This window comes from Homo sapiens, chromosome 5 (genome assembly GCF_000001405.40).
Source record: "Homo sapiens chromosome 5, GRCh38.p14 Primary Assembly".
Classification (NCBI taxonomy): Eukaryota; Metazoa; Chordata; class Mammalia; order Primates; family Hominidae; genus Homo; species Homo sapiens.
In genome coordinates, this window is record NC_000005.10 from 9,125,724 (window position 1) to 9,140,738 (window position 15,015).

Genomic DNA, 15,015 nt, shown 5'->3' on the forward strand with positions numbered 1-15,015 from the left:
TGAGGTTCTCTGAAGACCGTAGAGCTTTCTTGGAGAACCAAGCCTTGCATGACAACGTGACTCAAGCCACTAATACAGAAGATTCTGTGTTAAAGAGGCAAAGACCCTACCATTTGGGATTTTCAACATTCTCCTTTCACCTGTTTATCAGCCCTCCCTCTTGTCTCCAGCCAAAAGACTCCTGTGTCAGTGGATAAGAGGTCACTTTCACTGTGAGCAAACGTAGTTCCTATGCTTACACATCCTCGCCTGCTTTCACATCCAGACTCCTGCTTGCTGTGCAAACCTTGCTAGTATTGTTTTGACTGTCAAAAGCATGTCTCTTGTTCATGGAGCCAGCCTCAAGCAATAACGGTGGTCAGACAGAATATTTGCATCATAGTTACACAATATATAGGTCTGTACTATTTTGACTCTTTGCAGTGTGGGCCCAGTTAAGAAACCTTCTAGGGCTGCTGAAGGCCCCAGCAGACACCACCATGGGAGCTGTGACCATCCTAAGCCTGCAGGTGGGAGGGAGGACAGGGTGGCTGGAGCAATCCTTAGTTGAAGGGGGTAAGGGAGTGATACCCGTCTTATTCCTCCTGCCCATGCCTCTCATTACCTGAGCCCAAGGTCACAAGACAGCAAGGGAAAGAGGATCGGACATTGGATGTGAGGAAGGTCAGACCCTTGAGGCAGAGAGTTAGTGGGGAGGGAGACTGTTTGAGAGGCTCTCTGGGACATCTGTTCATCCTTAGCCTCACTTCTCTATGAAGGTGTAACAGCTCCAAGAGTTCATCTTGCCCTCCACTCAGAAAGCCAAATGCACTGGGAACAACAGGAATGACAGCAAAAAAAAAAAAAGAGCTGAATTATTACAGGGCCAGGCAAGTGAGGAGAACAGAAAGAAATTCCTCAAGCCTGACTCCCTGAGAATTCAGAGGCTAGGGGTTTTTGAGGGTACTTTGGCAGGCCGGGGTGGGGAACTGAAACAGTTGATGAAATCACAGCAGTGTTCAAACTGCCTTCAGGCAGCTGAGTCAGTTCCTGAGAGGGGGTCTCGGACTACAGGACAGCTTTTGGTCAGCTGAAGTGCTAAATCTGAAAAATATCTCAAAGACCACTTCTTTAGGTTTCACAATTGCAATGTTATCTATAGGGGTGAGTTAGAGAAGTTATAAATCTTGTGACCCCTGGTTACCTGAATCTGTGGTAACCAGCTTAAAGAAAAGCAGGTTAAATGTCAGCAGGTCATTGCTCATGCCTATTCTTCAGCAAAGGTCAAGCCCTTACCATTGTGAATACAGTTTCAATCTCTGAATACGAGGACAGGGAGGTAAGTTTTCCTTGCCTCAAAATTTAACCATAAACTAAATTCCTCTCACAGTTATCTTGGCATTGGTCTCTGTGTTATTATATGTAAAACAAAATTACATAAAACAGGTTAGCCTGCGACGTTAAAAGCAAGGTGGAATCAGTCATGCTGGAATTCTCTCATCACTTCTAATTCTGCAAAGGCTGTTCCAGAGGTGTGAGGGGTCATTCAGGTTGGGATGCTATGGAGGTCAAAGCAGTTCTATCCTGGATGCTAATCCACCATGCTGACTTCTGATTAACCCAAGTTCTGGGAATGCCTCTAAGATTTCCAGTTTACCTATTGTTCCTTGTGTAAGAGCATGTACTTAGCGCAAACAGTGCCCTTCAGCAAATTCCTAGGCATTCCCTCTGAAGCACATATACACTTTCCCTATGGCTCATAAGCCCTGGGAATAATGGCATGGAGATCTACCTGTCCTGCAGCTGCCCAAGAGCATATTTCTCTCTGTAAGTTCCCAATAAACTCACCCTGTACCGACAAACTGACTTTGTCTGCCTCACTCTTTGGTTTCTTGGGTCCTTCTGTGTTTGGGGGTTTATTTGCACATATGTCCCTTTCATGAAGCAGATGCATTTGTGATTTTTTTGAAGGTTTATAAATCCCCCTAATATTAATCAGAAACATTTGACATGGCAGAATTGGGACAAATTAGAGAATTTGAGGCAAAGAAGAGCTTTCCAAGCCCCTTTGGTCTCCATTTTCTCATCTAAAATACAAAGGAAATGACCAGGGAGGTTCCTAGGATCTCCTTAGCTCTAAGAGGTCATAAGGAAATCCTAAACTCATAATGATATAGATGATAGAAATATCTAAGACTGTGAGGCCAGAAGGAAGTACAATATGATGGTGACAACCGAATGAAGACGGAAACAGAAATCACTCAGAGTTCCAGTCCACGTGATTCCTTAAAATAATCTCCTGTCCTGGAGGGAACCTGAGAATTTCCACTTTTCCAAAGAGGCTAAGGTAGGGACACCAGCCAAGGTAAATGGATTTTTATGAAGAAAGTACTTTGAAAAAAAGAGGATTTGCATTCATTATGGGAATTATTCCTCACCATTGTGAGGTGGAGCAGAGGGAGGAGGAATCTGTGGTGAGTTGGGCTGGCACCACCGGCCATGCTTCTGAACCTCAAACAGGACATATCTGAGGCCAGGGTTGAATCCTGACTAGGCTATAAGCCAATCATGGCAACCCCTTCAGTTGGGCCAGTGCTGGGTCTAGAAACCGACATGTGACCCAGTTCTGGCCAATGAGACTCAAGAGGACACTGCAAGAGGTTTCTAGAAACTATTTTCATTCAAATGAAGAGGAGGAAGCTTTCTCTGCTCCTTCTCTTCCTTCCTGCTTTGGACATGGTTATGTGTGAATATGATACTTGGCAATCCTACTGCCATCTTGTGAGCAAGAGGAGAAGGCCTAGGGAATCAAAGACTTGCTCATCTGCTGTCCTGCCTGAATTCGGCAGCAGAATCAGCCCTGAAACTGCTGCCTCACGATATACCACAGGATGAAAATAGTCCTTAATTAGGCCCTATTCACAGGAAATTTAATTACCATTAGGCATATACAGTCTATATGATTTAATTTCTTTATGCTATTTTTATAGAAAAATTAAACTAAGATTCATATGAATTTGATAATATCCCAAAGAATCCCTAGCTACTTATTTGGAAGATGTAATCTGAAGCACTGGTCTTCCTTTTCTCCACTGCCCCAGAGTTTCTCCACATCGGCACTATTGACATTTGGGCTGGATAATTTGCTGTAGGGGCTGCCATGTGCATAACAGGATGTTTAGTGACACCCCTGGCCTCCACCCACTGGATGCCAGTGCCCTAACACCCCCAGATGTGACAACCCAAAATGTCTCCAGACATTGCTAAATGACCTTGGGGGCAACTTTTTTCCTGATTGAGAACCACTGCACCAGACATTCTTTGTTCATTTTCTTTTGGCCTAGCATGAATTAGTAGGGTCTTAAGCAAAGAGATGCTATAAATGTTCTCTTTCCAAATATATGAATCGGCAAAAGAGGAGCTCATAAGAAAGGCACAGGGAAATAGAGGAAGAACTTGAAATAAGTGATGGCTAATGAAAGAATGAAGAGGAAAGAGGCAAATAAAATAGTGCAGAAACAGTTACCAAACCCTGGAAAGAAAAGGAACTGCATTGGGCAAATCACAGTGAGAACACACAGCAATTGCACTCTGGCAGGGTAAGAATGTGAGATTCAGTTTCTGGCCATGGCCGGAGTAGTTGAAGACTTTAAGGGCAGCGTTTTCAATCCAGGATCACTGTAGTTGGTTCTACTACATTTCAGAATGAGGACTTGCAATCCTTAGAAAAGTACATGGGTCTTTGGGTGCAGGTTCTCTGTGTTGCATTTAAGCACTTGCTCATTTTGACCCTGAGTATATTCGTGTAAGAATCTGCCTAGAAAGCAGATCCATGAATAACAATCTAAGTTCTGTGGCTTTACTTTTTCATATGAATAGGTATTTTTATATTTTCTTAGGCTTCCTTAAACAGACATCAGACACATATCTAGAATAAATTATCTGTAGTTGTGCTATCTTCCAGATTTCTGCAATGAAAGTTTCTATTAGGGGTATGTGTATTATACTATTTAATATTAAACATTAGACCTTAGTGAGACATATACCATGTAGTGGTAGTTTCGTGTATGCCAGGCACTGTGCTTTACATGTATTAACTCCTTGAATCTTCAACACATCTGTAGCACCTACAGCCCATTCTACAGATATGAAATGGGCTGAGATATGATAAGTAAGTTGCTCAAAGTCACTCTGGTTGTAAAAGACCCAAGAATCAAACAAGCTAGTCCAGAGCCTATGATCTCAACCACTTCATTCTGTAAAGTAATTTGTAGATCCTTCTTTGGTGAGACTCTCAAAGAAATTAGCTTCAAGTAATTTTACCCCCAACTCTGTAATAGCAAATTTCCCTTCATCTAGGAAATAGCAGGTTTCCAAGTGCTAGCTAAGGAAGATTCAATTTTGTTACCAAGCACCATCTACAATCCTATATTTGATTTGTTCATGTCCATTTCATTAATTTCAACTGACCAAGGATGTAGATGCATTTGGTGAGTGCAGAGGTCCCTGGAGTTCATCTTTAGATTCTTACTATATTCCAACCACTATTGTTTCATGACTTAATTGAAGTCTTATTTTTCTATTCTGATATTTTTTCAAAAATTAAAAAAAAATCTTCCTTTTTAAAATTTTCATGTACGTTTTGCCATAGAATGTAACAAAACAGAATGTTAGATATGCTCCTCGGGAAAGCTTGTCTCATGCTATGATATCAACTAAGCATCATCCCTAAGCCTATCTCTGCAAATGAGTTACACAGGAAATGCAGTGCCTCCAAAAAGAACTAAGCTGAAGCACTGTGCAGCCTCTGATAGGATGGGTGAACTGGGGCAATAGTTATCTAATACCTCTGAGCCCCACCTCTTCCATTTATAAAATGGAAGCAAAAATATCCATCCCTGGGGATCACAGTGAACGTTAAATGAGATAATCCATTGAAAGTTGCCTCACATGGCACTGAGCACACGTTCCAGACATACAAGTAAACCTTAGTTCTCTTTTCTTTCTCTTATATTAAGATTCTATCACAAAATTCAGAAATAATCTCTCACCTACTCTCTAAGCATCATCTGTTGGTGATGACCGTGTCACCCCTGCTTTGGAAAGACGTTGAGAGCTTAGAAGGGCATTATCCTGAAGATTAGGTATAATGTCAAAAATGTTGAATTTAAATCCTGGTTTCTTTCCCAGTGCAGTTTTGGAACATTTGATAAACCCCTTAGACTATAGTCTATGGTACTGCCATCTAAAAGAGGGCTCTGGGCTTGATCACTGCTAAAGTCCCCTTTTATTCTAAAGACCCTAACTACATAATGGCATTGAGGAGAATCCTGTTATTAGGAGACCCCCTAGGTGTTTATTTGCTCCTTGTATTTTGTTACTTATTACATGATGTATAGCTCATTTTGCATTTCTGTAAAGGAATACCTGAGGCTGGGTAATTTACCAAGAAAAGAGGTTTATTTTGGTCACAGTTTTGCAGACTGGCCAAGAAGCATAGTGCTGGCATCTGCCTCTGGTCCTACAAAGCTTACAATTATGGCAGAAGGTGAAAGGGGAGCAGATGTGTCACATGGTGAGAGAGAGAGTGAGAGATGCTAGGGTCTTTAAAACAACCAACTCTCAGCTGGGCGCAGTGGCTCACGCCTGTAATCCCAGCACTTTGGGAGGCCGAGGCGGGTGGATCAAAAGGTCAGGAGATCGAGACCATCCAGGCTAACACGGTGAAACCCCGTCTCTACTAAAAACACAAAAAATTACCCGGGTGTGGTGGTGGGCACCTGTAGTCCCAGATACTCAGGAGGCTGAGGCAGGAGAATGGCATGAACCCAGGAGGTGGAAGCTGCAATGAGCTGAGATCTCGCAACTGCACTCCAGCCTGGGCGACAGAGCGAGACTCCATCTCAAAAAAAAAAAAAAAAAAAAAAAAAAAAAAAAAAAAAAAAAAAAAAAAAAACCTGTCATGTGAGCAATAGAGCAAGAATGCAGTCATTACTGAAGAGAGGGAATCCAGCCATTCATGAGAGATTCGCCCCCATGACCTAAACACCTCCCACCAGGTCCCAACTCCAACACTGGGGATCACATTTCAACATCATATTTGTGGGGAGTGAACATGCAGACTATAATACATGATGCATTTTGGAATAGGGACTCATTACATCATATGGTACCCTGGTCATCATGTATCCACAAAGGGTGTGGATGGTATTCATGCATAAATAAAACTCAAGTAGATTCCTAAGACTATGCTACCCTTGTTAAACAACATTATGATTTATGCAGGACATATATATTATTCTAATCAGTCTAGATATGCCAATTTAGATTTTACTGATGCACTTCAAATCTCTTAAACTGAGAGTAATGTTTTCAATTACAATTTTATAAGCAAACAGAACATTAATCAATATGTGAGTAAACTATTGCCCTGTCATCTGTACTATAGAAACCCATAAACATTTTTAAATAGGGATCCCTCTGTAGAAAATAAGTCTTCTTTAAGTCCCTAATTCCCTAGAAATATTTATTGGGGGTCCCTTATCCAATTCAAACTCTCTGGATAGCAGAGGATTTAAGCCACTGCCATGGCCTGAATGTGCTCCTTCCAAATTCAGGTGTTTCCAGTGTGATACTATTAAGAAGTGGAATCCTGAAGAGGTGATTAGGTCAGGAGGGCTCCTACCTCAGGAATGGATTTGGTACCCTTATAAAGAGTTGTGACAAAGAAAGTTGGCTGTCTCTTGCCCTCCCAACTTCTTCTAGGCGGGACACAGCAAGAAGCCCCTCACCAGACTAAGTAGTGGTACCTTGATCTTAGACTTACCAGCCTTCAAGACGATGTGAAATAAATTTCTGTCCAATTTAAATCACTCAGCCTTATGTATTCTGTTGTAGCAACATAAATGGTCTAAGACAGCCATAAGTCACAGCCACTGCATGAAGTTTGACTAGAACACTAACTTTGGGAAACTCAGTTGTGCTATGTCATTGATCCAAGGTTTGTGAAAGTTTACTTGGGAGGGTCACACACAAGAGGGTCTGAGGTTGACTCACCATCATCAATATTCCTGTAACTCTTATTGCACTCAATGTAACAGGATCTCCTGTCTTTCATTATGCAGCTTGCACTTTTACATGAGGTATAAAATATTTGGTCTCATTCAAAAATCCCTCAGCTTATAAAGCTTAATTTCCTTTGGAAAGAGATACATACCTCTATGATCTATATACGTAGAAGTAGGTAACAGTGTTTACTGATTGCAAACTTCCCTCTGCTTTTTTTTGTATTTTACCATCTCTAAAATAAACTGGCATCTTGCAATCCATGAGAGTGTTTTTTGTTGTTGTTGTTTCTTAGCAACATATAAAGCAGTGGTACACATCACAACCAGTGGCATATCAGAAATGATTATATATGATAGATTTGCCCAATAAAATTAAGCCCTTGTTCCATTTCAGTTAAAAAATAACACGGAAGAAAATTACATTTCAATAGTTTTTTTAAATACCTAAGTTAATACTGATGTATATTAATGCAAATCATTTACATCTAGGTCATCTCCTTCTAAGAGACAGATTTTTAGAAAGAGATGTATAGTTAGATAATATGAATTTCTCATTTTCAAAATGGTAGCCTATATAACCCAGAAATATATATGGTTTCCTTTCCTGTGTTTTGTGCAAAATGACATAATTTATTGTCTTTTGTTGCCTTCTTTGTATATGCTTAACTTATCTAAAGTGTATCTTGATATGTGATAAAATACATTGGGTGGGATGACAGACATAGTTTTGTGTAATGAAATACCCTGTCATCAGAAGAAGCAGACCTTGTAATGAGTGTTTTGCTGACTGAGAGCCAGATATCACATCTCAGCTTTATTTTTGAAAGCAGAGATGGTAGAGGAGGCAGCCTTGACACCATGGCAGATCCTTGTTACCTTCTGATCTTACTTGTTAAAAACTCAAGTAAGGTCAGAAGGCAACAAGGACCTCAGGTCCTCTCAGTAGTAGGAAACAACTTTAGTGACCATCCTCTCTTCACTTCTGAAATATTAAATCTTTCCTTTTCTTTCTTTCTTTTTTTTTTTTTTGAGACAGGTCTTGTTCTGTTGCCCAGGCTGGAGTGCAGTAGTGATATGCTTTGGCTCTGTGTCCCCACCTAAATCTCATCTCAAACTGTAACCCCCACATGTCAAGGGAGGAACCTAGTGGGAGGTAATTGAATCATGGGGGTGGTTTCTCCCATTCTGTTTTCCTGATAGTGAGGGAGTTCTCACAAGATCTGATGGTTTAAAAGTGAGTTTCTCCTGAACTCTCTCTCCTGCTGACTTGTGAAGAAGGTGCATGCTTGCTTCTTCTTCACTTTCTGCCATGATTGTAAGTTTTCTGAGGCCTCTTCAGCCATGCAGAACTGTAAGTCAATTAAATCTCTATACCTTATAAATGACCGGTCTAGGTATTTCTTCATAGCAGTGTGAAAGCAGACTAATACAAGTGGCATGATCTCGGTTCACCACAGCCTCAAACTCTTAGGCTCAAGCAATCCTCCCACATCAGCCACCAGAGTAGCTGGAACTACACGTATGCACCATCATGCCTAATTAAATTATTTTACTTTTCTGTAGAGTCAGGGCCTTGCTATGTTGCCCAGGCTGGTCTCAAACTCTTGGCCTCAAGCAATCCTCCTGTCTCAGCCTCCTAAAGTGCTGGGTTTACAGGCATGAGCCACTGTGCCCAGCCAACTCTCCATTTAATGACTAAAGACATATACAATACATACATTCATTATAAACCAAGTGCGTGGGTGTGTATTTCTGGCCCATGAACTCCAGCCCACAAACACTAGAGCACAGAGGGAAAGCCCTTCTAGGTTGAGGGTCCCACGGGGACAAGCTGCCTGCTGGGAAGCTCCCATTACAGATAGTAATAATTACATAATTAGTATCTCTCAGATATATACTAAAACAACTCTGGGTCCTAGACAATGGCCTTATTACTTAAGAAACACAGCTATTATCTTGTGCCTTTTTTATGATTAAAAATGCAAGATCAAAGATCTGCAAGAAGATTTGCTGATTCTTCCAAAGTGTATGTCTGTACTTTGGAACCACATTTCAGGTATTAAACATTATGTTTTATCAAGCTGCAAAGAATGAAAGGTGAGCACCCTTGTGTTCTTAGTATTTTTCAGAAATAGGAAGGGCCTTAGAACAAACAATGACATTTTTCTAACCATTTTAAAGGGATTTTGCAGAAAAATTGGCTACTAAAATAATAGATCTGAAGTTAAATAATCATGAGGACCCACAGCTAATCCTACTAGGAAGCTGTCCAGAGCCTAGATGTGGTGATGCACACACTGTTACAGTGAAGGCCCCTTGATTCGGTGCCAACATTTGGGAAATGACACTGGTTTGAATAGCCCCAGACTTCCTTGCTTCATCCTGTCTGGTTTCTGGTTTTCCGACTTTCTTTTTTTTTTTTTTTTTTTGAGATGGAGTTTCGCTCTGTCGCCCAGGCTGGAGTGCAGTGGCACGATCTCGGCTCACTGCAAGCTCTGCCTCCCGAGTTCACGCCATTCTCCTGCCTCAGCCTCCCAAGTAGCTGGGACTACAGGCGCCCGCCACCACGCCTGGCTAATTTTTTGTATTTTTTAGCAGAGATGGGGTTTCACTGTGTTAGCCAGGATGGTCTCGATCTCCTGACCTTGTGATCCACCTGCCTCGGCCTCCCAAAGTGCTGGGATTACAGGCATGAGCCACCGTGCCCGGCCTGGTTTTCCGACTTTCAAGCTGAAGGACAGGCTTTATGAATATGTGGTTGAGATAACAGAAAGGGTAAGTTCTTTGGTGGGAAACAGGCTGACTGTTGCAACGCCTTCGCAGTTCTAAAGCATGGAAGAAACAGCAAGGAGTTCACACACTGAATGTGCCACACCTCTGTCTTGCAGAGATACAGCAGAACTGATGGGCAGAGATCAGCAGTTTTGTAAAGGCAACATGACTTATGACTTTTCCATTATATGGAAGTTAATAACTGTTGTTCATATTCTATGAGAACACATAAGAGAATTTAAGATGATTCAATGAAATGTTCTAAAGGCCAAAAACCCTCCAAAAACAAACAAACAAAAAAAAAGCAAAAAATATTCTAAGTACTGGTTCCTATAAATGTGGACCCAAACACATATATCAGCAAAGGAAACCATGAAATGTGCTTTTCTTGGATTCAGTCTGGCTCTCAATACAGGTGAGTTTCTCCTCATTCCATAGAGTCCTCTATGGGAACGCACACTAGGCGGTCTCTTCCAGACCTTCCTGTGACCTTGAACAGGATCTACGGGTTGGCCCCACATGAAGGTGAAAGTAATATCCTTTAGTTTATTCTTTTCTCATCTTTCCTTATGTCAGCCTCTGGAATTATATCTCCCAAAAGAAATTTGTGGGTGTGGAAGTTTCTCTTTTATTAGCGCTGTAAGGGGCAAAATAGTCCACACCAAACTCTGGAGGGGGAAAAAAAAATCCAAGAATAAAACAAACCATAAACTCCATTATCAAATCAACACAGTTTTCTGTGAAGACATTTCTCTTCAAACAGACAAAAAAACCTATAACAGCATTCCACGTGGCCCTGTGCAAGCCAAGAGCTGAGTGATCTGAGAGAGCACAGACTGGGTTTGCAAAAATGGTTCTCATATGAAAAGGTGCAGACAGCGTGACAGTGTGACTGAGGATCGCCAGGGGAGCATGGCTCCCATGGGCAGCATTTTCAGAGGATGGAGAAGGTGGGCACTCACCGGACACGCAGAGATGCTCTGTTCCCACTGCGTCATGCTCAGGCTCTCCTCCAGGCTTGTGCATTTCTTCATTACCACATCCCAGCCACAGTAAGGGTCCTGGGCCCCAATGCAGGTGCTGGAAACACACACCAAATGGTCAACAGAAAGGTCGCTTTACCCATGATAAGATACACAAGACAAGGCGAACCTGTCCCTTGGCAGAGAGGTATGGGATTTCTTACATATGAAGCCCAATGGGTATTTAGGCTGCACACTGGAGAGCACAGCTATCTGCACACTCCAGTAAGTACCTAATATTAAATCATTTACACAGACATTTTGAAAAATCTATGTTTTAATCTAACATACATGACAGATGACTAAAGATGAGCCAACACGAGCATTTTGCTGTCATAAATAGTGCTAAAATCAAGATTCTACAATGTTCAAAAACAATATAGCTGTGCTCACCACTACCGTCACCATGATCATCCGCCTCCTCTTTACAACATGTATTATTTGTTTAACACCTACTATCATATTAACTATAATACAAACTATCATAGCATGCAGACGCTTAAACGATTTGATAGGCAGGTTTTATTTACTGTTACCATCACCATAATCATCATCGTTATTACCACCACTTTATTGATGAGAAAACTGAGGCACAGAAAATCTGAGAAATTAGCCCAACAACATGCAGATACATCCAAAACTCTTCAACATGAATAGTTCAAACTCAAAAAATAGGAGCATCTTTCATTTGTTTACTGTAGCTTAAACGTATTAAAATTTTCAATTTAATAGTAATTTCATATAGTTGTGTCTATAATATCCTACATATGATATCAGAAGTATTTTAGATGGCGGATATTTTCTTTTTAACTTTGTCTAAATGAAAGAGTTCATACACTACATGGGCATTATTAGATGAGGGCTGTGGCCTTTACATTATAAAGACAAGCAAAGGTAAATGAGGGAGGAAGAAGACGGAGATGATAGCGATGGAGCCAGAAATATACAGAAGATAATGTCATGGGCACGCAGGACATTGAACCTGGGAATTCTGTGAATGCACCAAGAAGTTGGAGGGGCAGGAAGCAGATGTGAGGAAAGAGAGACAATGCCAGCATGGAGGTGCCAATGACCCCTCTTAGAGGCAGGATAGTACTTACAGTGAGGGAGGTCCTGTTACAAACTAGTCAAGGACTAGAAATCTGGTAGGACCAGAAGTCATGGCTTAACCATCAACCCTGTCAGCAGGGAGGTAGCGTAAGTAAGTAATGATGAGTTGTTCATATTTATAATACAAAATAATCATTGTTAAAACACCAAATGTATTAATCATATATAAAGCAGTTTTCTAAGAATGTGACTTATATTTGGTCATTTAAACCCCATGACAACCTTATTAATACAGTACCTCAATTAGGCACTACATTGACTGTCGCTTTGAAATGAAAAAACTGAAGGAGGGAAAGATCGATTTGAAGGCTGTACAGCTAGGGAAGATATGTTTACAGTTGATAAATCTACTGATAGGTAGTAAGTTATTATACAATTGTCATTTATTAATTACCTAAAGAAGTGCAAATGATTTAAAAAGCTGTTTCTCAGAAGTAGGGCTAGGTTGGGGTACAAAAATGTATGAAACAACTACCTGTTCCTATAACCTCATTAAAACTCCTTGATATGCGACCATATGCAGACATGACTTCCATTCAAAAATACAAACAAGGCAGTTATAAAGGACAAGGGGAAAGCCTATTTCCCTAGTAGTAGTTTATACTGTTTATACTAACTCACATATTCTGCAGATATTTTATCCATACATATAAGCATGCTTGTGTACACATATCTATATATACATATATATATTTTGTTATTGTTTATAGGCAAATATATGTTTTATATAATAATGATATGCAATACACACAAATGTGATTGTGCACGCGGTTTCGCATTTTGCTTTCTACAACCAATAATCTATTATTGCACTATTCTTGTCAATAAATATAGCTCTACCTTACTCCCTTTAACAGCTGTATAGTGCTCCATTTCTTTGATGAACCAACATTTATTTAAATTTCCCTTTCATTTTATTTTATTTATTTTCAATTTTTTATTTCCATAGGTTATTGGGGAACAGGTGGTGTTTGGTTACATGAGTACTTTTGTGGTGATTTATGAGATTTTGGTGCACCCATCACCCAAGCAGTATACAATATCCACTGCATCCAATTTGTGGTATTTTATCCCTCACCCCCTTCCTACACTTTGCCCCTGAGTCCCCAAAGTCCATTGTGTCATTCTTATGCCTTTGCATCCTCATAGCTTAGCTCCCACTTATGAGTGAGAACATGCGACGTTTGCTTTTCTATTCCTGAGTTACTTCACTTAGAATAATAGTCTCCAATCTCATCCAGGTTACTGTTAATTTATTCCTTTTTATGGCTGAGTAGTATTCCACCATATATATGTATCACAGTTTCTTCAACCTCTCCTTGATGGATGGGCATTTGGGTTGGTCCCACATTTTTGTAATTGTGAATTGTGCTGCTATAAACATGCATGTGCAAGTGCCTTTTTTCATATAATGACTTCTTCTCCACCAGATAGATACCCAGTAGTGGGATTGCTGGATCAAATGGTGGTTCTACTTTTAGTTCTTTAAGGAATCGCCACACTGTTTTCCATAGTAATTGTACTAGTTTACATTCCCACCAGCAGTGTAAATTTCCCCTTTAAAATTATTAACTTTACCCTTTAAAAGCAAGGCTGCAGTGCTCATTTTTGTATGGGTTTTCTATATGATAAAATTTTATTCATGTAGTTATAGGCATTATTAAATTTGGACCAACCAACAATATGGGAGTGCCTCTGCTGCCTCACCCTGTTACACACTGGATGTTACCATATTTTTTAACTCACCCAAAGGGTGAGTCTTTCAGAAAGCTGGTATATGAAAAAAATAGAATTTCCCAATTGTCTGTTTTCATTTCTTTCAGTTGTGTCTTAGGTTAAGGCTTAGCATAGATGAATATACTTTTTAAACATTTGCATTTTCCATGTGTAAACTTCCTATCCATATCCAATTCCTGATTTGATCTCTTTCATGAGTCATTCATTTTATTACATGGTCACTGGAAGGGGTGATTTTTGCATTAAAATGCAGCCCTCTCTGAGTAATATTTTCCCTGTTTGACATTTTTTTCTTGAGATATACATGTTATAAGATTTTATGCAGTAAAACTTATGAACACTTTTCTTTATAGCATCTAATGTGTGTTCCATGTTAAGATCTTTCTCACTTAAATCTTCCCAACTTAAAGATTAAGCATCAAACATTATAGAAAGATTAAAGATTATAGAAACATCACTCCCCCGATTCCTTCTGATTCTTCTAAGGTATCATTTTTTGGCTCCCTATCCTTTATCCACTTGAAATGTATTTTTCTCCTCCTCATAAACAAACAAACAAATCAAAAATCACAAATACATATTAAAAAATCTAAACATCTCAAACCCCACACAAAACAAACAAATTCAGGTGTTAGAGGAAGAGTAATAGATGTGAGTATGGTTTCTTTTCCCGTTATTCAAATGACATCCTTTTCAATTACTACAAGTTTATAACAGAGAGTGTGAGCATAAGCATTTTAAAATCTCTAGCTTTGGGAATATGATTCCCAATAATGTACTATTTTAAATAAAAAATTATTCCAATGATCAGTCTCATTGAATAAAACTTGAACCTGTATTTTTATTGTAGAAAACACATAAAAATTTTCTCAATTCTCAAGACACGCAATTGATTTAATAACACTTTTTTGTGCAGGGAATAGAGAAGATGAGAATAAACTATCACAACCAATGACTAAGACCATGAAAAGTGTGCATTTATTATCCAGGTGTCAGCAATTTCTTCCTGAGTAACTTTGCATGTGCAGTGTTGTTCTGTAGAAAAATGCCCAGAGGAAGTTGCTGGAAATCTGGAGACCCTTCAAGTGCAACTCATGAGACAGACCCGGGTGGGGTGAGCGCTAAGAGTCCTTCTGCTCCCTGCTGTGACTCCACCTGGCTGTGCCAATGAGATCGAATCTGAGAGTGTCTTCATCTTACTAAACTAGCCAAAAGTGACATATTTATATTTGCGGCTCCTATGGCAAACCTGAGAGTAATTCTTTTATTGACAAAATAACATAGTGTATATCACATATGGGAATTCTCTGTGTATGATTCTTTACACA

General features: G+C 39.9%; 1 protein-coding gene across 11 annotated transcripts in view; it reads right to left on the minus strand.

Moving 5' to 3' along the window:
* The window catches only part of SEMA5A (semaphorin 5A), a 511,043-nt gene that overhangs the window by 90,691 nt on the left and 405,337 nt on the right, over positions 1 to 15,015 (minus strand). For all 11 annotated transcript variants that reach the window (XM_011514158.3, NM_003966.3, XM_011514157.3 and 8 more), the window contains one exon: positions 10,781 to 10,898. In XM_011514158.3, the coding sequence (XP_011512460.1) occupies positions 10,781 to 10,898 (118 nt within the window). The remainder of the gene's footprint in view (positions 1 to 10,780; positions 10,899 to 15,015) is intronic.